Source organism: Homo sapiens, chromosome 1 (genome assembly GCF_000001405.40).
Source record: "Homo sapiens chromosome 1, GRCh38.p14 Primary Assembly".
NCBI lineage: Eukaryota > Metazoa > Chordata > Mammalia > Primates > Hominidae > Homo > Homo sapiens.
The window spans coordinates 212,359,468-212,382,465 of NC_000001.11; the positions used below are offsets into that span (position 1 = coordinate 212,359,468).

The following is a 22,998-nucleotide window of genomic DNA, read 5'->3' on the forward strand; positions in this document are numbered from 1 at the left end:
TTTTTGAGAATTTCATAAATTACTATAAAATAATCTTTCAAGAGTTACTTTCTTCTCATATGTTTATTTCAAACTCAAGAAGCACTTTCTTAAACTTAAGTGGTTAGTAACCAGTGTACCTGAGCCCACCCATTATTTGAGGATAACAGTTACCATTTACTTCTAATAAGCATATTACCTGTTCTGTTTAGAAAAGCTATCTATTTTGACAAGTTCCTAGTTATGGTTATCTTAAAGTAGAAAATGGATAGCCTTTCTTCAAAGCCATCCAGCCCATTAATAACTAACTCAATGCATTATTTCCTTTAAATAGCAGCATTCAGGCAGGAATAGAAATTAAGTACATGTTTTGAGCCTCAGGAAGCAATGGGAAGAAAATAAGATGACTAGGATCATAGGAAACTTGTATTTGAAAAATATGTATTTCACATGACTAAGAATATACTCATCATTTCTTACCTGCATAAATCAGCAAATCCTTTAAAAGGATTTGTCCTTTTAACTCATAACTGCAGAATTATAAGCCTATGTTTTACATGTTCATGGAGCCTTTCAGAATAGACAGGTTCAAGTTACTCAGAAATGTTTTCCTTAGAACTGAAATTAATTAGTTGAAACGACATATGAAATATTTTGACCTTCATTTTGTTCTAGAGAAAGATTACTGAAACTAAAGTTTTCATTTGACATGTAAAAGAGGAGCTAGTAAGATACAAACTGGTTAGTGGCTAGAGATGTGGCTGTTAGTGGCAAAAATGATGTGGCTTCTGTCTGGTGTGGTGAAGGAAGTGCTTCCTACTGACCTAGTGGCCAGCCCCTTCAGCCTTTGTAATACTGATTAGACTACTACAACTGCAAGATGTTTACGTGAGAAAATTGACGTGTAAGTACTTTGTTGACTATAAAGTACAGTGTCATGGTAGTGATAATGTGTAGGGGACAGAAAGCAAGTAGTAACGTCTAGCTGGTACAGGAGATGCACAGACTCAGTACATTTAGGAGAGTGACAAGAAGAAATTAGGTGCTCCAGGTAAGTGGACTCCAAAGCTTTAGCAGAGGGATTTAAGTGAAATGTGGGTAAGTAATGTGTTCTCCAGTAAGCTGTCAAACAGCACCTCTCTTTGGGTTCTGAAATAATTTCTGATTACAAAAATTTTGGTTTATCTACAGAGAGAAAAAGAAGGAATTGGAACGTGAAGAATTATGGAAAAAATTAGAGGAGCTAAAGCTAAAGAAAGCTCTAGAAAAACAGAATAGTGCTTACAACATGCACAGTATTCTCAGCAATACAAGTGCCGAATAAAAAAAAAGCCTCCCACCTCTGCCGGATAGGCAGAGTTTTGTATGCTTTTTTGAAATATGTAAAAATTACAAAACAAACCTCATCAGTATAATATAATTAAAAGGCCAATTTTTTCTGGCAACTGTAAATGGAAAAATATATGGACTAAACGTAGCCCTGTGCTGTATCATGGCCATAGTATATTGTAACCTTTGTCTAATCATTGGATTTATTGTGTCACTTCTGAAGTTTCACAGAAATGAATGAATTTTATCATCTATGATATGAGTGAGATAATTATGGGAGTGGTAAGAATTATGACTTGAATTCTTCTTTGATTGTGTTGCACATAGATATGGTAGTCTGCTCTGTATATTTTTCCCTTTTATAATGTGCTTTTCACACTGCTGCAAACCTTAGTTACATCCTAGGAAAAAATACTTCCTAAAATAAAACTAAGGTATCATCCTTACCCTTCTCTTTGTCTCACCCAGAAATATGATGGGGGGAATTACCTGCCCTAACCCCTCCCTCAATAAATACATTACTGTACTCTGGAATTTAGGCAAAACCTTAAATCTCCAGGCTTTTTAAAGCACAAAATATAAATAAAAGCTGGGAAAGTAAACCAAAATTCTTCAGATTGTTCCTCATGAATATCCCCCTTCCTCTGCAATTCTCCAGAGTGGTAACAGATGGGTAGAGGCAGCTCAGGTGAATTACCCAGCTTGCCTCTCAATTCATTCCTCCTCTTCCTCTCAAAGGCTGAAGGCAGGGCCTTTCCAGTCCTCACAACCTGTCCTTCACCTAGTCCCTCCTGACCCAGGGATGGAGGCTTTGAGTCCCACAGTGTGGTGATACAGAGCACTAGTTGTCACTGCCTGGCTTTATTTAAAGGAACTGCAGTAGGCTTCCTCTGTAGAGCTCTGAAAAGGTTGACTATATAGAGGTCTTGTATGTTTTTACTTGGTCAAGTATTTCTCACATCTTTTGTTATCAGAGTACCATTCCAATCTCTTAACTTGCAGTTGTGTGGAAAACTGTTTTGTAATGAAAGATCTTCATTGGGGGATTGAGCAGCATTTAATAAAGTCTATGTTTGTATTTTGCCTTATGTCATCTTTGCTTCTTTTAGCTCTAAGCTTAGGCATACAGGAGAAGTCTGCCCCCCTTTTTACATACATATGTGTATTTATAGAAACTTTTAAGACAAATTGTGGGACGAAGTCTAATTTAAAAATAGGAAGATTGTGTGCCAAGGTTGAGTGTTCTAGCCCTTTACCAAAATATGTTTTACAGAATATTTGCATAAAATTCTAAGTTCTAGGATATCTTTCCATCATCTTTCATATCCTTGTATGTTAAGAGGATGGGTTTAATTTACTTTGAAGCTAATTTTTCATAATCCATAATAAATAGCACTTCTAGTGAAGAGCAGGGAGCCTGTGGCACAGTTAGAAATCAGGTATTATTGGCTGGGTGCGGTGGCTCGCGCCTGTAATCCCAGCATTTTGGGAGGCCGAGGCGGGCCGATCACCTGAGGTCAGGAGTTCAAGACCAGCCTGGCCAACATGGTGAAACTCTGTCTCTACTAAAAATATAAAAACTAGCCATGCGTGCTGGTGGGCGTCTACAATCCCAGCTACTCGGGAGGCTGAGGCAAGAGAATCGCTTGAGCCCACAATGACCCAAGATGCACTCCAGCCTGGGCGACAGAACAAGATTCTGTCTCAAAAAAAGAGAAAGAAATCAGACATTATTGTAATAAAGTGTTATCTGCTACTGATGTTTACTTCTGCTTTAATATTAAAAACTCTAGCACAGGGGATGCACACTACTCCCAGGTCATCATGAAAGCAGTGTACCAAAAGGAAGAGCACTAAAATTCTTTTACAACAATAGCTCATGCTTTGTTTTTCTCAAGTAGTAGGTATTGCAGAGTCATCTTGTCATGGCCATCAGGTTAAGGTGTTCCTTCTAGATTCTCTACACTCACCCAGGGTCAGCTAGTATTGCTGACAGCTGGGGGACAGCGCAGTTAAAAATGATGATCCTACACAAAACAGAAGGAAAAGGCAAGCGCCTGCCTTTCCAGAAAGTGAAGGTTATGTCTAAATGTCTATTCTGTAGAAGGTTTAGGTATATTTCTTTTACTGAAGAGCAACCAGAGTAGATTTTGACAGGTTACAGCTAATAAAGGTTTTTCTCTCTGAAAAGGTAAAATCGTTCACTTCCTAATTATGTGCTTACATGAAAGCAGATTTAATAGGTCTCTCAACTTTATTTATTTATTTATTTATTTATTTTGAGACAGAGTCTCACTGTGTTGCCCAGGCTGGGGTGCAGTAGCATGATCTTAGCTCACTGCAACCTCTGCCTCCTGGGTTCAAGTGATTCTCCTGCCTCAGCCTCCCAAGTAGCTGGGATCATAGGCGCGCACCACCACACCCGGCTAATTTTAGTATTTTTAGTAGAGATGGGGTTTCACCATGTTAGTCAGGCTGATCTCGAACTCCTGACCTCAGGTGATCCACCCGCCTCAGCCTCCCAAAGTGGTGGGATTACAGGCGTGAGCCACCATGCCCAGTCTCAACTTTCTACAATACAGAGAATATAGTATGTTCATTGAAACAAATTTTATTAGATATTTAAGTAATATTAAAGTGACTGGCCGGGCACAGTGGCTCACGCCTGTAATCACAGCACTTTGGGGGGCTGAGGCGGGTGGATTGCTTGAGCTCAGGAGTTCCAGACCAGCTTGGCCAATATGGTGAAACCCTGTCTCTACTAAAAATACAAAAATTAGCCAGGCATGGTGGCACATGCTTGTAATCCCAGCTACTTGGGAGGCTGAGGCAGGAGAATCACCTGAACCCAGGAGGCAGAGGTTGCAATGAGCCGAGATAGCGCCACTGCACTCCAGCCTGGCAACAGAGTGAGTGAGACTCTGTCTCCAAAGAAAAAAAAGAAAAAAAAAAAAAGAGAAAGTGACATATTGTCAGACATGCTTTAAAAAAACACACCCCCCTTTTTCACTCCCCTTTTTATCAGTACTGTTAATGTAAGCTTTTATGCCTGGCTTTGCATTTGCCCTGCAATAAAATAAGATTTTATAAAGAGACCTAGGCTAAAACTTGAATTCTCATGCTTCTGTGGAGCAGAAAAGTGGCAGGGAATATTTCTTTATACAGTTCACTTTTAATCATTCATCCAAAAAACAGTTTCTTCCCATTTAAAATGCCTATTCATACATTTGAGTTATTCCCTTTGGATTATCGGAAGCCAGATTACAAAATTTAGGAAATGCTACCAAGTCCTCTTTGAAGCAACAGGCACATAAATAATTTAAAACTCTGGAAACAATTTTTAGAACCTTAATGTGAAAAATAGACTTTTTTTTAATGCATACTCATTTCTGTCAAAGGCTAGGCTAAAAGCTTTTTGAGGGTCACACTGCGTATGCCCCTTCCTCATATGATGGGTAGTTTTGTGGACACAGTAAAGAGTTAACCCAGCTTCCTCGGGGACACCAGGTCACTCTTTCTGGACACCTGCCATCAGTTGCCATGCCTAACAAACCCTTCCCTGGAAGCAGTTAGAACATACCTTGGGAGTCAGATCCATCTTGGGAGTCCAGACTCATACTACCTTTTTGTCCTTGGAAGTCACCAAATGAAAGTAATTGTGCCCGATGATTGAGCAGATATTCATATTGTCACACTCGTTCCTTTTGTATTAACTTTTATTTACCTGTTAATGAAATCATCAAAATACAATGAGTAGGCACCTTCTATGTACATCTGTCCTAGTGCTTTTGAGTGTTAATCTAAACTCATACATCAACAAACATTCTAGCCGGACAAGTAGGTGGCTACTCAGTCCATTAAGAAACTTAATTACTAGTTTCTAGTAGCCTTAAAGTCTCATTTAACATTTAACAAATCAAAGAGCATGTCAGAGGCTGGACATCAATGGCAGATGATGCCAAAGTCATAGGGTTTTGCCTTTGTGTACAGTGCATAGGCTCCAAAGCATGACCTGCACGTCTTGATACTCAGGAATTTTTGGAAAAAGAAAATCACACTCTTTTGTCCACTTTTAAAAAGTGAAAAGTAGAGCCTTCATTACCCTAGTAGAGCTTAACCTAATACAATACAATGAACCAAACAGGAAGAAAGGCATCTTCTACAAACCCTATTCAAAAGTCATTGGCCAGCTCTTTAAAAAGTTTATTAATAATTTAAATATTTAAATAACTTGTAGGTTTATCCATTAGTCTCTTCTATTAGGCTCTACACCGCCTCTTTTGGGACGGGGTTAGAAGTTCCAGTTTTACATGCTGTTCCTCCCAGCAAGGCCCCATTTCTTCAAGTGAGTACAGGATTGTTGATAGCTCCGTTTACAAAGTGGAAGTGATGACAGCTCCCATTGATGTGGACAGTTCTCTAAACAACGCGAGGTGACTTCAGCTTATGTGGCTCGTTGCCTGACCTCTTCTTTTAAGGTATCTCTTTCTAATTTTGATCATCCATTTTATACTCAGTTTGGCAAACTCTGCTGCTTTAAATAATGCCAAGAAGGCGCCACAGAGAAGAGCAATTGTGTTCCAAGGATTGGCAGTGACTATCTGTGAAGCAAACAGAAACAAACAGGATTACTGGTTTGCTTCAGTCTTGATTCTTTTTTTTTTTTTTTTTTTGAGATGGAGTTTCGCTCTTGTCACCCAGGCTTGTGTGCGTGGCGCAATCTCGGCTCAGTGCAAGCTCCGCTTCCTGGGTTCAAGCAATTCTCCTGCCTCAGCCTCCCGAGTAGCTGGGATTACAGGAACCTGCCACCACACCTGGCTAATTTTTTGTATGTTTAGTAGTGTTATTATCAAGAGCCCTTCCCAAATTATTGGGACTATAAGAAAAATACCTGGGTTCTGAAACTGTCATAACTCTATATACTTCATTCAGACTATACTTTTAATGTCCATAGCTCAGTTTGAGGAGAAAAATACTGACTCCTCCCTATAATAAAGTGATTCTGAAAGAAAGCTGTTTTTCAAAAAAGCTCTGCACAAATAAGATAGGCAATATTTAATTTTGTGGCCTAATCCAACAATAAGTGACCTTGCTTTGAGATGAATTTCCCTAAAACTATACCCAGTCCATAAGAAGGTGAGCTCCTCTTGTTCCCATCTCATAGTTACCATAGTTTCAAGTGTTTCCTCATTTCTAGTCCAATGGCTGTCTTTCCTCCCAAACTCAGAGGAGGATTCCTGCCTCCAGTCCTCTGCTCTTTTCCCCATCTACGATGCTTTCCTCCTGTCTAGGTTTACTCATCCTTCAAAGTCTCAGAGCTTTCCCTGACCACTAAGCTAAAACCCTTTCTGGACTTCAGCAGAGCTATTTATCCTATGAATGCCCTTCACAGTTCCTTATGGTCTGGAATCAATAATTTAAAACAATAGGATTGTTCTCTCACTAACTCTTGAAGGCAGAGTTGTAACTCTTTAAGGCAGAGTTCTTATCTTGGATTTCTGACTTCCACAACCTGGTAAGAATACTTTTTTTTTTTTTTTTTTTTTGAGATGGAGTCTCACTGTCGCCAGGCTGGAGTGCAGTGGCGCGATCTCAGTTCACTGCAACCTCCGCCTCCCGGGTTCAATCTATTCTCCTGCCTCAGCCTCCCGAGTAGCTGAGACTACAGGCACATGCCACCACGGCCGGCTAATTTTTTGTATTTTTAGTAGAGACGGGGTTTCACCATGTTGGCCAGGATGGTCTCGATCTTATGACCTCGTGATCCGCCTGCCTCAGCCTCCCAAATAAAATACTTCTAAGCTCAATTTAGCAGGGTGACCTTAGTATGCATTTCATTGTTCACATATGAAAATGGTGATACCACCACTTGACTGCTGTGAAGCTGAGTAAAGCATGCCTCGGGTACTGGGCTCCACTTGGCCCATAATAGGTACCTCATACTGAATATAGTAGGTTAAAAAATGTTTTATCACACATTACACAACGAGCTGCAAGCCCTTCTCCCCAGTCTTGATTCAATAAGCCTCTGCACATCCCTCTTCATACAAAGCCTTGCCAGTCCATAATTAATAGTGGTAGTGGGTGATAGCAGAGCAAGCACATCCGTATCACAGAATCCCCACCTGGGGGTGGAAGCTTACACGTTTGGGTCTCAGCTATGAAACAGTTTCCTGTAAGCCATGATCACATCAGGATATATTATGATGACATGAATGCCAATCAATACTAGATTTAGGCCTGGCTCTGGTGGACGGTGTGTCTTAAATGTTCCTTTAGCAAAGCTGTCCAATTATTCCTCCCCTTCCAAGATCATGAGTCAGAATTTGACGTTAGAGGAGGTGGAGCCAGATGGCTAAAGAGAACCCTCCAGCGATAGTCCTCTGCAGCAACACCAAACTCAGCTATCCATGTAAGAAAGTATCTACACAAGAGCCAAAAAACCAGGTGAGAGATCACAGTATCTGGTTTAGTATAATAACAGGAAAAGACACACTGAAGAAGAGTAGAAAGGAGGGTCTCACGCTGCCTACACACCCCTCCCCCAACCTTAGGCAGTGCAGCAGAGAGAATCTGTGAGCTTGGGAGAGGGAAGTGAGTCTGGAACTTGCATTGGAACTTCACAAGGGAAAACAGCACCAGGCAGAATTCTGAGGCCCTGATTCCAGGCTAGAGCCCGTGAAAAGAGTATTAGGCCCACCCCAGATCAGAGGGGCATCTACCACCCCAGTGGGAGGAAACCAAGTCTGGGCCCACTTTACAATAGACTAAAGTGGCCTTAGGCCCCAAATAATTTCAGTGGCAGCCAGGCCATAGCAACCACAGCTCTGATACTGCACTGGTCTGGGAGTCTGTGGGTTTGGGGTGTGATCCAGCATGACACCAGCTGCCTCAACTCCAGGCAGTGCAGCATGGTGGAACACTCCTGCTTGGGCAAAGGAGAGGGAAGAGTATGAGGGACTTTGCCTTGGAACCTAGTACCAGCCCTGCCACAGCACCAGGAAGAATCCCGAATCCCCTAATTATAGGCTATTGCTCCCAAATGGCACTTCTAAACCCACCCTGGCCAAAAGGCAATCGGCCACCCTAGCAGGATGGACCCAAACCCCAGCCAGCTTCACCACTGGCTGACTAAAGTGGCCTTAAGCAAACCCCAGTATTGCATTGGTTTAGGAGGGACCCAGGGTGGTGCCAGCTGTGACAGCCATGGGAGTACCTGCCTTACCCCTCCCCAACTCCAGGCAACTCAGAGCAGAGAGACTCCTTCCCCTTGAGGGAAAGATAAGGGACTTTGCCTGGGAACCCCCAGGGCATTCTCTCTGATCCTCCCCAAGTACATCAGGGCTGGATATCTAGAAGTCTACAAGATAGTCACAGTGTAACTTGGCTTAGACTGCCCTCTAGTGCTGAAACAGCTGCAGTGACTGACTACACGCTTAGGGAACTCATCATCAGTCACCTTTCAATTTGTAGAAAATCTCCTGAAGATAGATGGGTATAAACAAGGGCAGACTGTGAAGACTGAAATAAACACCTAAATCTTCAATGCCCATAGACAGACGTACACAAGCACCAGAAAAGTTCAGAGAAATACAATCTCATCAAACAGACTAAGGTGCCAGTGACCAATCCGGGAGAGAGAGATGTGTGACCACTCAGGGAATTCAAAATAGATGTTCTGAGGAAACTCCAGGAACTTCAATGAAACACAAAGACTCAATTCAGAAATTTATCAAAGAAATTCAACAGAGATTAAAATAATTTTTAAAAATTCAAATAAAAATCCTAGAGCTGAAAAGTACAATTAACAGACTGAAAAATGCATCAGAGTGCCTCACAGAATTGATCAAGCAGAAGAATTAGTGAGCTTAAAGACAAATTATATGAAAATACACAAATAAAAAAAAAAGAATGAAGAACACTCACAAGGTCTAGAAAATAGCCTCAAAAGGGTAAATCAAGAGTCAATGGCCTTGGCCGGGTGCGGTGGCTCATGCCTGTAATCCCAGCACTTTGGGAGGCCGAGGCGGGCGGATCACAAGGTCATGAGATCAAGACCATCCTGGCTAACACGGTGAAACCCTGTCTCTACCAAAAATACAAAAAATTAGCCGGGCGTGGTGGCGGGTGCCTGCAGTCCCAGCTACTCGGGAGGCTGAGGTAGGAGAATGGTGTGAACCCGGGAGCTTGCAGTGAGCTGAGATTGGGCCACTGCACTCCAGCCTGGGTGACAGGGTGAGACTCCGTCTCAAAAAAAAAAAAAAAGAGGCAAAACAAAAATATAAATAGATATAATAAAAAGTCAAAATGTGAGGAGTATGGAGTTGAAGTGTAGTTTTAAAAGTTTTTTGTTTCTTTGTGATCAAAGTTAAGTTGTCCTCAATTTAAAATAACTTGTTTTAACTGCAAGATGTTTTTTATAAGCCTTATGGTAACCATAAAGCAAAAACCTATAATGGATATAATAAAAATAAAAAGTAAGGAATTTAAAGAGATAATCATTTATCCACAAAGACAGTAAGAAGAATGAAGTTACAAAACCAAAAAACAAAAAACGAAATAGCCGTAGTAAGTCCTTCTCTATCAGTAATAATATTGAATGTAAATGGACCAAATTCTTAAGACACAGTTGCTGAATTTATTAAAAAACAAGACCCAACGGTATGCTGCCATACAGCGTATAGTTCACCTGTAAAGATACACAGATTGAAAGTGAAGAGACAGGCCAGGCGTGATGGCTTATGCCTATAATCCCAGCACTTTGGGAGGCCAAGGTGGGCAGATTGCTTGAGATCAGGAGTTTGAGACCAGCCTGGTCAACATGGCAAAACCCTGTCTCTACTAAAAATACAAAAATGAGCCAGGTGTGGTGGCGCATGCCTGTAATCTCAGCTACTTGGGAGCCTGAGGCAGCAGAATCACTTGAACCCGGGAGGTGGAGGTTGCAGTGAGCCAAGATCATGCCACTGCACTCCAGCCTGGGCAAGAGAGCAAGACTCCATCTCAGAAAAAAAAAAAAAAAAAGTGAAGGGATAGAAAAAGACATCCCACACAAATGTAAATAAAAAAACAGGTTTAACTATACCTGTAACAGATAAAATAGACTTCAAGTCAAAAACTGGAAAAAGAGACAAATATCATTATGTAATGATGAGGGAGTCAATTCAACAAGAAGATACAACAACTGTAAATATGTATGCATCCAGTATCATCAAAGAAACCACATATATAAAGCAAATATTAATAGATCTAAAGGGAGAGACAGACTGCAATACAGTAATAGTAGGGGACATCAACGTCCGACTCACAAAAATGGACAGCTTATCTAGACAGAAAATCAACAAACATGGGATTTAAACTATACTCTAGACCAAATGGACCTAACTGACATTTACAAAACATTTCATCTGGCCAGGTGCGGAGGCTCACGCCTGTAATCCCAGCACTTTGGGAGATCAAGGTGGGCAGATCAGGAGGTCAGGTGATTGAGACCATCCTGGCTAACACAGTGAAACCCCGTCTCTACCAAAAAATACAAAAAAAATTAGCCGGGCCTGGTGGCAGGCGCCTGTAGTCCCAGCTACTCGGGAGGCTGAGGCAGGAGAATGGCGTGAACCCGGGAGGCAGAGCTTGCAGTGAGCCGAGTTCACACCACTGCACTCCAGCCTGGGCGACAGAACGAGACTCCGTCTCAAAACTCCAACTGCTACAGAATATACATTTTTCTCATCAGCACATGGAACATTCTCCAGGGGAGACCATATGTTGGGCCACAAAACAAGTTTCAACTAATTCAGAAAAATTAAAATCATATTAAGTATCTTGTCTGACCACAGTGGAATAAAACTAGAAATCAATAATGAGGAATTTTGGAAACTGTACAAATACATGGAAATTAAACATGATGCTCCTTAGTGACCAAAGGTCAATGAAGAAATTAAGAAGGAAATTTTAACATTTATTGAACAAATGAAAATGGAAACAATATACCAAAGCCTATGAGATACAGCAAAAGCAGTACTAAGAGGGAAGTTTATAATAAATGCCTACATCAAAAAAAGTAGAGATTTCAAATAAGCTAACGATCACCTCAAAGAACGAGAAAAGAACAAACCCAAATTTATCAGAATAATAATTATCAGAGCAGAAATAAATGAAACTGAAACTTAAATGAAAAGTTAGTTGTTTGAGGCCGGGCGCAGTGGCTCACACCTGTAATCCCAACACTTTGGGAGGCTGAGGCCGGCAGATCACAAGGTCAAGAGAACAAGACCATCCTGGCCAAAATGGTGAAACCCATCTCTACTAAAAATACAAAAATTGGCTGGGCATGGTGGCGGGTGCCTGCAATCCCAGCTACCTGGGAGGCTGAGGCAGGAGAATCGTTTGAACCCAGGAGGCGTAGGCTGCAATGAGCCAAGATCGCAACTGCACTCCAGCCTTGTGATAGAGCAAGACTCCATTTCAAAAAAAAAAAAAAAAAAGAAAGAAAAGTTAGTTGTTTGAAAAGTTAAACAAAATCTAAGTTAAACAAAATCTATCTAAGAAAAATATAATGAAGACCCAAATAAATAAAATCACACCAAAATAAAAGACATTACAACTGATGCCACAGTAATATAAAGGATCATTAGAGACTTAATGAAAAACTATATGCCAATAAAGGAAAACCTAAAAGAAGTGGAAAAATTCCTGGATACATTGTCTACCAAGATTGAACCATGAAGAAACAGAAAACCTGAATAGACCAATATGAGTAACAAGACAGAGGCAGTAATAAAAGAAAAGCCCAGCACCTGATGGCTTCGTTGCTAAATTCTATCTAACATTAAAAAAAAATTAATAGCAATTCTACTCAAACTATTCCAAAAAATTGAAGAATATTCCCAAACTCGGTTCTGCAAGGCCAGCATTACCCTGATACCAAAACAAGACAAAGACACAACAAAAAATGAAAACTACAGGCCGATATCTCTGATGAACACAGATGCAAAAGTCCTCAACAAAGTATCAGCCAACCAAATTCAATAATACATTAAAAAGACCATTCACCATGATCAAGAGGGATCCATCTCAGAGATGCAAGGATGATTCAACATATGCAAATCAATAAATGTAATACATCACATTAACAGAATCAAGAACAAAAATCATGTAATCATTTCAATAGATGGTAAAAAAGCATTTAATAAAATTCAACATACTATCATGATAAAAACTCTCAATGTGCCGGATATGGTGGCTCACTCCTGTAATCCCAGCACTTTGGGAGGCCGAGGTGGGCAGATCACTTGAGGTCAGGAGTTTGAGACCAGCCTGGCCAACATGGTGAAACCTCATCTCCACTAAAAATACAAAAATTAGCTGGGCATGGTGATGTGCACCTGTAATCCCAGCTACTCAGGAGGCTGAAGCACAAGAATCATTTGAACCTGGGAGGCAGGGGTTGTAGTGAGCTGAGATCATGCCACTGCACTCCAGGCTGGGAGACAGAATGAAACTGTGTCAAAAAAAAAAAACAAAAAACAAAAAACAAAAAAAAAACAAAAAACTCAACAAACTGAGTATAGAAGGAACATACCACAATAAAGGCCATACATGACAAACCCACAGCTAACATCATATGGGGAAAAATTCAAAGTCTTTCTTCTAAGATCTGGAACAAGACAAGGGTGCCTACTTTCATTATTTTTGTTCAACATAATACTGGAAGTCCTAGCCAGAGCAATTAGACAAGAGAAAGAAATAAAGGGCATCTGAATTGAAAAGAAGTCAAACTGTCTTTGTTTGCACATGATATGATCTTATATTTTGAAAAACCTAAACACTCCACCAAAAAACTGGTAGACCTGATAAATTCAGTAAAGTCACAGGATACAAAATCAACACACCCAAATCAGGAATATTTCTATATGCTAACAGCGAGCAATCTAAAAAACTTATAGCAATGCAAGAATAAAATAAAAAAGAGAGCAATCCCATTTATAATAGCTATAAAAATATAAAATACCTAGGAATAAATTTAACCAAAGAAGTAAAAAAATCGCTATAATGAAAACTGTAAAAATAGGGATGAAAAAATTGAACAGGACACAAAAAATGGAAAAATATCCTATGGTTCATGGATTGGAAGAACTAGCATAATGTCCACACTACCCAAAGCAATCTACAGATTGAATGCAATTCCTATAAAATACCAATGACATTCTTTACAGAAGTAGAAAAAAAATCCTAAATTTTGTATGGAACTACAAAAAACCCCAGATAGCCAAACCAATCCTGGGCAAAAAGAACAAAGCTGAAGGCATCACACTACCTGACTTCAAAATATACTACAAAGTTATAGTAAACAAAGCAGCATGGTATTGGCATAAAAACAGACACATAGACCAATGGAACAGAACAGAGAATCTAGAAATAAATCCATGTATATGCAACGAACTCATTTTTGACAAAGGCACCAAGAAAATACAATTGGGAAAGGATAATCTCTTCAATAAATGGTGCTGGGAAAATTGGATATCCATATGCAGAAGAATGAAACTAGACCCCTATCTCTTACTATATAGAAAAATCCACTCAAAATAGACTCAAATCTAAGACTTGAAATTATGAAACTAGAAGAAAACACTGGGATAATGCTTTAGGACACTGGTCTGGACAAAGATCTTTTTGGTAAGACCTCAAAAAGCAGAGTCAACAAAGGCGAAAACAGAAAAATGGGATTACATTAAGCTAAAAAGCTTCTGTACAGCAAAGGAAACAATCAACAAAGTTAAGAGACAACCTACAGAATGAGAGAAATTATTTGCAAACTATGCATCCAACAAGGGATTAGTAACCAGAATATATAAGGAACTCAAACAACTCAATAGCAAAAAAAGCCAAATAATTCAATTTTAAAATGGGCAAGAGATCTGAATAGAGATTTATCCCAAAAGATGATATTCAAATGGCCAAAAGGCATATGAAAATATGCTCAACAACACTAATCAATCAGGGAAATGCAAACCAAATCCAAAATAAGGTTATCACCTCCCCTCAGTTAAAATGACCACTATCAAAAAGACAGTAAGTAACAGATGCTGGTGAAGATGTGGAAAAAGGGGAATGCTTGTATACTGTTGGTGGGAATGTAATAATTTACATTATTAAACTCACTATGAAAAAACAGTATGGAGGTTCCTCAAAAAGCTAAAACTAGAACTACCATATGATCCAGCAATCTCATTGCTGGGTGCATATCCAAAAGAAAGGAAATCAAAAAAGAAAAGAAAAAAAAAAAAAAAGGAAATCAGTGTATCAAAGAGATATCCGCACTCCCATGTTTACTGTAGCACTATTCACAACAGCCAAGATATGGAATCAACTCAAGTATCCATCAACACTTAGGATGAATGGATAAGGAAAATGTGGTGTGTATATATATATATAAAACACAATGGAATATTATTCAGCCATTAAAGAATGAAATCCTGTCATTTGCAGCAAAACGAATGAAACTGGAGAACATTATGTTAAGTGAAATAAGCCAGGCACAGAAAAACAAATACCACACGTTCTCACTCATGTGGGAGCTTAAAAAAAAATGAGTCTCATGGAGGTAGCGAGTAAAATGGTGGTTACCAGAGGCTGGGAAGGGTTGGGGGAAGCAGGAGATGAAGAGAAATTGGTTAATGGGTACAAAAATACAGTAAGATAGATGACATGATAATACAGTAGAGCAATTATAGTTAACAAGAATGTATTATATATTTCAAAATAGCTAGAAGAATGTTCCCAATGCAAGGAAATTATAAATGTTTGAGATGATGGATAACCCAACTACCCTGATTTTTGATCATTAGACTTTGTCTGCATTTATCAAAATATTACATGTACCACATAAATATGTATATTATGTATCAATTTTTTTAAAATATGGCATTAATTAATGCTTTGTTAATATTTTATTTGTACCATTATGTTCTTACTACAAGTAGTATTTATCCTACAGGGAACCATTAAGAAAAAGAATAACTTGCAACTGCAGTAACCTGTATAGTGGTAACTTAATGCTTTCTACTCAATTTATTCAACGAACATTACTACTAAGCAGCTACTTTGCACTAAGCACTCCACTATATCCCAGATAAATTATGGTGAGCAAAATGAAAGTCCCCCTCCTTTACAGAGAAAGTCTAGTGATGAAGACAAGACCAAACACAAAGAATATATAACATTGATGTCATAAATATAAATTACAAGCTGATTTGTGCTATGAAAAAAGATGAGGACAGGTAGGTAGACTTATCAGTCTACAAGAATGAGCCAAAAGACTTCAGGGCAGCATCATAATCTTAAATAATACATCTATCATAATCTTAAATAATACTATCATAATCTTAAATAATACTATCATAATCTTAAATACTCACATCTTGGACTTTCTGGATGAAAGGATCTTTCCATTCAAAGACCACAAAAAACAATTGAGCACTTTTTTTGGCAGCTGGCCTCTGGTCAATGTAGTTAACCACACTTGTCTAGATGTGGAGGAGAGAAAGCAGTGTTACCACCTCTGTGTGCCCTTCCCTTGCCTGTGCCCAGCGAAAGGAGAGAGAGTAGGCAGGGGATCATAGTCTGTGGTTCTCCTCACACTATTTTTTGGAGAGAGAGTGGCAAAAATCTCATATATACAAGATCCTGACATTGGTAGCAAAGCCAAGGCTTTACCTTGGTTTCCACAGTTCTCTGGGGAAATGGGATCTGTGATTTACAATAGGTGTTTTGGATTGTCACTGAAATTTGTCACTAGGTATCTGTACTCACAATTAAACCATATTCAGGCCAGGCATGTTGGCTCACGTCTGTAATCCCAACACTTTGTGAGGCCTAGCCAGGCAGATCACCTGAGGTCAGGAGTTTGAGACCAGCCTGGTCAACATGGTTAAGCCCTGTCTCTACTGAAAATACAAAAATTAGCCAGGTGTAGTGGTGGGCGCCTGCAATCCCAGCTACTCAGGAGGCTGAGGCAGGAGAATCGCTTGAATCTGGGAGGCAGAGGTTGCAGTGAGCCGAAATAGTGCCACTGCACTCTAGCCTGGGGGACAGAGCAAGACTCTGTCTCCAAAAAAAATAAAATATTAAAAATAAACCATATTCAAACTACCATGTAAGACTCACAATTAAAAGCAATAAAAATTCCAAATTTCAAAGTACTTGGTTTTCAGATCAAGTATTTCTCTGAATTTTCAACGCTTGTTTCAACCCTTCAAGTTTACAGGGACAAAGCACAGCTGCATAGATCCACACAGCTGAGCATTCCCTGTAAATACTTAGTAGGTGTGCTTGGTGAGATCTGGTTGTCAATTACTAAAGACGCTGTGTGGTGTAACGGAGAGCAGACAGGTAACAAAGGCAGAAACCAGCTCCACCCAGAGGCTCAGATCCATCATCGAAGCTGAGCCTCAGCTTTGCCACCCACAAAGCTGAACAAAATGCCTACGTCACTACAGTATAGGGGCATACCTATGTGAGAGCACTCTAAACTCTAAAATGTGATTTTAAAACACATTTTTTAGTTTTGTTCAAAAGAGCTCATAATGCCAACAAAAGACTTCCAATTTAGACAGTAATAAAAGATGCTAAAATTTCTTTAATGTACAGGTTCACTAGAGTTTTCACCCTTTGGTTTCGGATCACAGTGGGAGCTATCAGAAAATCCAGGGTAGATGGGGTTGAACTTAATTGTAAGGTAAGTGAACACAGTCTCCTTCCTCAGAGCTGCTGTGGGGCCAGATAAGAAAGGACTTGAATTTCTTGGAGCAAATTTGGAGGTAAAAATCTGGGAGATGACAGTTATCTTACAAAACAGGAAGATTTTAAGGTCCAGTCACCAGGAGGGGTTGTCACTTCCCAAGGCAGGAAAAATAGCCTTGCTTCCTTGAAGAAAACTGGCTTTGAGCCTCTTCCAAGTAACCAGCCTGGACTAGTCTGAGGAGCTAGGGCTCATGACAGGGCCCTGTTTAAGACTAACCCAAGACAGTCTTCTCCGGCCTAACTTCTGGCCAGTGATGGCCTAGTTGACTGGAGTGTGTCCTTCTGCTCCAGATGAGCATCCCGAGCCACTGGGATACAAGAAGAAAAGACTAGCTTTTTTTACTATTTATTTTTATCTCATCCTTTTAACATTTCTATTTTTGAATGTTTAAAGTGTATATAACACTAAGACAATAATAGTATGTTATATCACCTGCAGAGTTATATGTATATGGAGTATATGATCAAAAAGTTTTTACTAATGGGAAATCTGATCAAAAAGCTTTCAGCCCACTGGCCTAGCAGCCAGGAGATACACCTGGCATCTCTCGCTGTGACACCTGTGAGAGCTGAAGAGGACCTTAGGAAAAGGATCAACATGCACACTTGGGACCACTGTGTCTAGTCTCTCTTCCCTGCAAATAATCAATCTGCTAGGCCACTGCCAGCCCCTCAAAGTGCTGCTAGATGCAAGACATCAGACACAGCTGGGCGAGTTACTGACCTCTCTGCAAGCCACAATGATCTCTGCCCCACACATGCATTCCGTGAGGACTGGCCGGTATGTGCGCTGCCTGCAGAAGCACACACAGACTCCCTGGCATAGCATATGAAGCCCTCCATGGGAGTCCCTTCTCATCCTGACCAAGGCCTACTCACCCTTAAGGCCCTGCTCAAAGGAGCCTTCTCTGCAAAGCTTCCCTCCACCTCAGACTCGAATGTGGAAAAGTCACCAGCAGTTTCAAGCAAACCCAGAGCCACCTACCTCCTGCCGGAACTCCACTGCTTCCCGCCCATCCTCCTCCTTGGTCTTTACCAGTGACATCTTGACCCAGGTGCGGAAGCCCCCAGAGAACTTCCAGCTGGAATAGGCACTCTCACAGGCCTGCATGAAGCCTACCCTGTTTGGGCTTGGAGGAAGGAAGGAGAAGGAAGATCCAGGTCAATGCAGGTCTGGCAGCAGGAGTCGAAGCCCCCACTGCAAGCTGGTTTCTTTGCTGGCACAACCAGGATGCTGCCCACTCCCTGCCTCCTCTCCAAATTGTGATTGCCTCAACAGGGCTGTCAGTCACCAGCAAAAGCAAGGCCCATCCCTCTTTTCTCTCCATTTGGTTTCCAAATGGAGGGGTAGTCACTGGCCTCAAGGCAGGAACATGATCCTTGAAGCTCCCAGTGGGAGAAATCTTCCTCCCTCCTCCCATCATTCCTATCGATGGCTACCAAAGCTGTCGGCAATGAAGTTGGCAGAAGCTCCCCAGAACATGGCGCTCACAGCTCCTCAGAGAACTCTGGACTTCAGCAGAGCCTGAGGAAGCCCTCACCAGCCTGTCAGCTCCCATGGAAGGCCCAAAGAGGGGAAGAGGGTTCCTTGGGGAGGTCTCAGCCAGATGGGTCACCTACAGCATCAGCCCCAAGACGGTGCAGATGCAGCAAAATCAAAGCGAACATAAAAACAAGTAAAAACTGCAGCAGCATACCGAGGAAGCTCACGAAAGGAGCGTGGAGTGGGGGTGGGATCCCGGGGAAAGTCTTCCAGGAGGAAGGCAAGATGGCCAGCTTGAAGCAGGGAAGGGAGAGGGAATTCTAGGTGGCAGAAAGGGTGGAAAATGCTAAGGCAGAGGCTCCGAGCTCTGGGGTGGAAGAACAAAGCAGTGGTGGTGTGGAATGGAGGCAGCTCGCTGCATGTCCAGCTGGGGAGCAGCCTCCCTGCCCCTGTAGCTGCCTCCCTGCTTGCTCTGAATGGAGCCTCTGGGCTCAGCAGGACCTGGTAGGAACTGAGTCCCTCTCAACTCAGGCACATGAAGAAAATTCTCCTGCCCTCTAGGCTCCACGGTGTGACCCCAAAGCAGTGTGTGTGGAGCAGACAAGAACTTTCTGATGGTCAGGGGACATTCATCACTGTAAATCGAAGACTAAGAGAGGTGGCAGAGCTTATATCCTCATACCAGAGATGCAGTAGACCCTTGAACAACACAGGTTTGAACTGGCTGGGTCCACTCACGTGCGGATTTTCTTTTGCCTCTGCCACTCCTGAGACAGCAAGACCAAACCTCCTCCTCAGCCTACTCAACATGAAGGCGATGAGGATGAAGGCCTTTACAATGATCACTTCCACTGAATGAATAGTAAGTATATTTTCTCTTCCTTATGATTTCCTTTTTTTTTTTTTTGGAGTCTCGCTCTGTTGCCCAGGCTGGAGTGCAGTGGCGCAATCTCAGCTCACTGCAAACTCTGCCTCCTGGGTTCAATCGGTTCTCCTGCCTCAACCTCTTGAGTAGCTGGGACTACAGGTGCCCGCTACCACGCCTGGCTAATTTTTTGTATTTTTAGTAGAGATGGGGTTTCACCATGTTAGCCAGGATGGTCTCGATCTCCTGACCTCGTGATCCGCCCACCTTGGCCTCCCAAAGTGGTAGGATTACAGGTGTGAGCCACCACACCTGGCCATGATTTTCTTAATAACATTTTTTTTCTCTAGTTTACTTTATCGTAAGAATACAGTCTATGATATATATAACCACGCAATATGTGTTGTTTATGTTATTGGTAAGGCTTCTGTCAACAGTAGGCTGTTAGTAGTTTTGGGGGTCAAAAGTTATACACAAATTTTTGGCTGCATAGGCAGGAGTGGTTAAGTTTGGTAACCCCAAACCCCAAGTTGTTCAAGGACCAACTGTATTTCAGGCAAACATACATTAAGCCCGCACTAAGGGCAAGATGTGGTTCCTGTGCACACTGTGGGGGAAACCAAGGAACCACACAAGAACTTGCTCTCAAAGGGACTTACAAATCAAAGGCAACTTCCCCTACTCCTCAGCAGCCCCAGGCAATGGTGAGACCAAATGATCTCTCTAGAACCAGCCAGCACTATGTGCATGGAGAGCCAGCATGCTCCTCCACACCAGATTTGCTTAACTTTGTGATAAGATGTTGAGTGGACCGGCCAAGCTCATGAGGTCCCTTCCTGGGCCAGTGGGTCATCTGAGAATGCCCCTTCCCTTCCCTGCCCTCACCCCTCCGTCTCTAGCCTTGGGACATACACAGCTGGAATAAGATAAAAAGTAGACAGTAAGCCCACTGTGAACTCTAAAAGCCCACCTTTGCAGGAACTCCTGGAAAGAAGAGAAGAGGAGGTAATCAATGGCGCTGAAGTCCTCACTACTCTTGTTCAGGCGGAACTGGAGGAAGACCAGCTCCCGCTTTTTCACTTCCCGGGGCCCCTGGACAATCAGGGCAGATTTCTGCAGAGAGAAAAAGGACAGAGTCTCAGTCCTGGGAGAGTACACAGAGGCCTCTGGGTCTGAGGGCAGAAGTACTGACTGGAAAGCCCATAGCTCCTTGCCCAGTGGTCTCCAAAGGGACCACTAGCCAACAACAGGACTGGGCTGGGACTCATGCTCATTCCTGGGGAGTTTTCCCCATATGATGCCCAACCAGAGCTGAATGCAGCTCATCCTCTGTCCACTTTTCTCATTGGTTCTTTGAGTTATGGAAGCTCTTAATTTAGCAAGGATGATCACTTTCATCTGTTATGTGTGCCAATCTTTTCTTCCAGTCTGTCATTTTTCTTTTAACTTTGTTTCCAATGTCATTTGTCCTATGGAAACTTTAAATTTAACGTAGTAAAACCTTAAATCCTTTTCTTTACGGCTTTGGGTTTTGCTTGCTGAGGAAAGCCAAAATTATATCAATATTCTCCTCTATTTCTTTATAGCACTTTTTAATCTTTTTTACATTTAGATACTTTATATACCTGGCTTTAAGCTCTGTATATAGTGTGAAATAGGGCTCTAACTCCTACTTCCCAAACAATGCATAGAGACAGGTTTTGAAGCCTCTTCCCCTCCCTCCTTTATCCTATACTAAATTCCATGCAGAACCAATATCTATGTCTGCTTCTGGCCCTAGCAGAGCCCACACATTTGTCTGTCTCTGTCCAGTACTGTGCCACTTTGATTCCTGTGGTTTTTCCACTGTTCTGAGATCTGGGAAGGTGCTCTCCCTACTACTCTTCCCCATCCCCAAACTTGTCTTGGTTATTTTTGAACGTGTTCTAAGTATGCTTTAAGACTAGCTTGCTTAGTTCCACAAAAAAATTCACTGGGACTTTTAACTGTGATAGAAACTGAATTTATAGATTAATTTTAGAAAAAAATGTCTTTTACATCAACTTTTATAAATAAATGCTCTACAGAGATTTGAAAAAGAGTGAGTACACTGTCAGTTACAAAGTTTTGTGCCCCCACATGTATACACACACATACATACTCTAAATTTATTAACTGCACTATTCAATTCTTATCCTTTCTAGTTTTTGTCTATTTGATCTGTGAATTTCTGAGAGGGGTGTTTAAATCGTGCTCTAAAGTGATGGTATTTTTTACTTCTAACGGGTTTTGCTTAAAATATATAAATGTCATGCTGTTTTGTACATAAAGTTTTGGAACTGTTCAGTCGTCTTAGTGGAGAGTATGGAGTTGAACCTCTTATCAATATTAAACATCCTTCTTGCAAACTTTTGCACGTGGAATTCCACACTATTAATATTGTCACTTCTGGTTTTCGTTGCATCTTCTCAAGACAGCTTTGTCCATCTATTTATTTTTCAACCTTTCTGTACCATTTTGTTTTAAGTGTGCAACAGAAAGCACTGTCCCTGGTTTCTATTATCCATTTCTTCCTTTAGTACTAGAATGGCTTTCCCAACCCAGATTTCAGCAGAATCCACTCCCCCTGCTGGAGCCTCATCTCTGCCCTCAAATGTAGCCACGTGATAAAGTTCCTAATGTGCGAAAGAAAAGGGGACTCATTCAACTCCACCCCATTTCCTGAAAAGGGAACTGCTTGCCCTCCACCTTCCCAGGCCTGGGCATGTGCACAGACACACACACACACACTGCACACACACACACACACACACACACACACACACAGCCCACATGGACCAGAACAATGCCCAGGGGACAGCACAGTGACACACACACACACACACACACACACTGCCCACATGGACCAGAACAATGCCCAGGGGACAGCACAGTGACAAGACAAAAGTCATGGCTGGACTATCCTATGAGGCAGTACTGCCCACTACGCCACACGGCCTGCATGCCAGGACTGTTCTCAGAGAGAGAAGGAGGCTTCTCCCTCATCTCAGCCATTGTATTTGCAGGTTTTGTTTTTATTTGGTAGCTTAGCCTATACTCTGACTAATACACAATTTGTTAGCTGACACTGGAGTGTTCTTGTTTTTTTTTTTTGAGACGGTGTCTCGCTCTGTTGCCCAAGCTGGAGTGCACTGGCGTGATCTCGGCTCACTGCAAGCTCCGCCTCCCGGGTTCAGGCGATTCTCCTGTCTTGCCCTCCCAAGTAGCTGGGACTACAGGCACGTGCCACTACACACGCCTGATTTTTTTATTTTTATTTTTAGTAGAGACGGGGTTTCACCATGTTAGCCAGGATGGTCTCGATCTCCTGACCTCGTGATCCACCTGCCTCGGCCTCCCAAAGTGCTGGATTACAGGCATGAGCCACCACGCCCGGCTGGAGTGTTTTATGGTTGCAAAAAAAATCAAAATGAGGGAACAGCCAAACATTTGGGCAGTGGGAAAATGGCGGGCAGTAAGGAAATAGATAAGGATCCCGCAGGCTGGAAAGGTGGCAAACCTT

General features: G+C 41.6%; 2 protein-coding genes across 14 annotated transcripts in view, besides 3 other annotated features; one reads left to right on the plus strand and one right to left on the minus strand.

Moving 5' to 3' along the window:
* The window catches only part of PPP2R5A (protein phosphatase 2 regulatory subunit B'alpha), a 76,444-nt gene extending 74,058 nt beyond the window's left edge, over positions 1-2,386 (plus strand). For both annotated transcript variants that reach the window (NM_006243.4, NM_001199756.2), the window contains exon 13: positions 1,171-2,386. In NM_006243.4, coding sequence (NP_006234.1) covers positions 1,171-1,303 — 133 coding nt within the window. In that variant the 3' untranslated portion in view covers positions 1,304-2,386. The remainder of the gene's footprint in view (positions 1-1,170) is intronic.
* A 2,074-nt stretch (positions 2,387-4,460) lies between these two features.
* Positions 4,461-22,998, minus strand: part of PACC1 (proton activated chloride channel 1) — a 50,959-nt gene continuing 32,421 nt past the window's right edge. For 4 of the 12 annotated variants that reach the window (NM_001377479.1, NM_001377478.1, NM_018252.3 and 1 more), the window contains 4 exons: positions 20,428-20,570; positions 18,095-18,239; positions 15,726-15,833; positions 4,461-5,909 (listed from right to left, as the gene is read on the minus strand). In NM_001377479.1, coding sequence (NP_001364408.1) covers positions 5,748-5,909; positions 15,726-15,833; positions 18,095-18,239; positions 20,428-20,570 — 558 coding nt within the window. In that variant the 3' untranslated portion in view covers positions 4,461-5,747. Of the gene's footprint in view, positions 5,910-15,725; positions 15,834-17,326; positions 17,418-18,094; positions 18,240-20,427; positions 20,571-22,998 lie in introns of all 12 variants that reach the window. The other 8 variants (XM_047424319.1, XM_047424317.1, XM_047424316.1 and 5 more) reach the window with 4 other exon arrangements.
* Positions 4,786-4,986: a silencer, noted in NCBI's record as "peak686 fragment used in MPRA reporter construct". NCBI's record gives its function as "represses an SCP1 promoter by STARR-seq MPRAs in K562 erythroleukemia cells {active_cell/tissue: K562}" and the evidence as "EXISTENCE:reporter gene assay evidence [ECO:0000049][PMID:32103011]".
* Positions 7,638-8,223: an enhancer, noted in NCBI's record as "H3K27ac hESC enhancer chr1:212540447-212541032 (GRCh37/hg19 assembly coordinates)". NCBI's record gives its function as "activates a minimal SCP1, AML or CMV promoter by ChIP-STARR-seq in naive H9 embryonic stem cells {active_cell/tissue: H9 hESC(naive)}" and the evidence as "EXISTENCE:reporter gene assay evidence [ECO:0000049][PMID:30033119]".
* Positions 8,224-8,807: an enhancer, noted in NCBI's record as "H3K27ac hESC enhancer chr1:212541033-212541616 (GRCh37/hg19 assembly coordinates)". NCBI's record gives its function as "activates a minimal SCP1, AML or CMV promoter by ChIP-STARR-seq in naive H9 embryonic stem cells {active_cell/tissue: H9 hESC(naive)}" and the evidence as "EXISTENCE:reporter gene assay evidence [ECO:0000049][PMID:30033119]".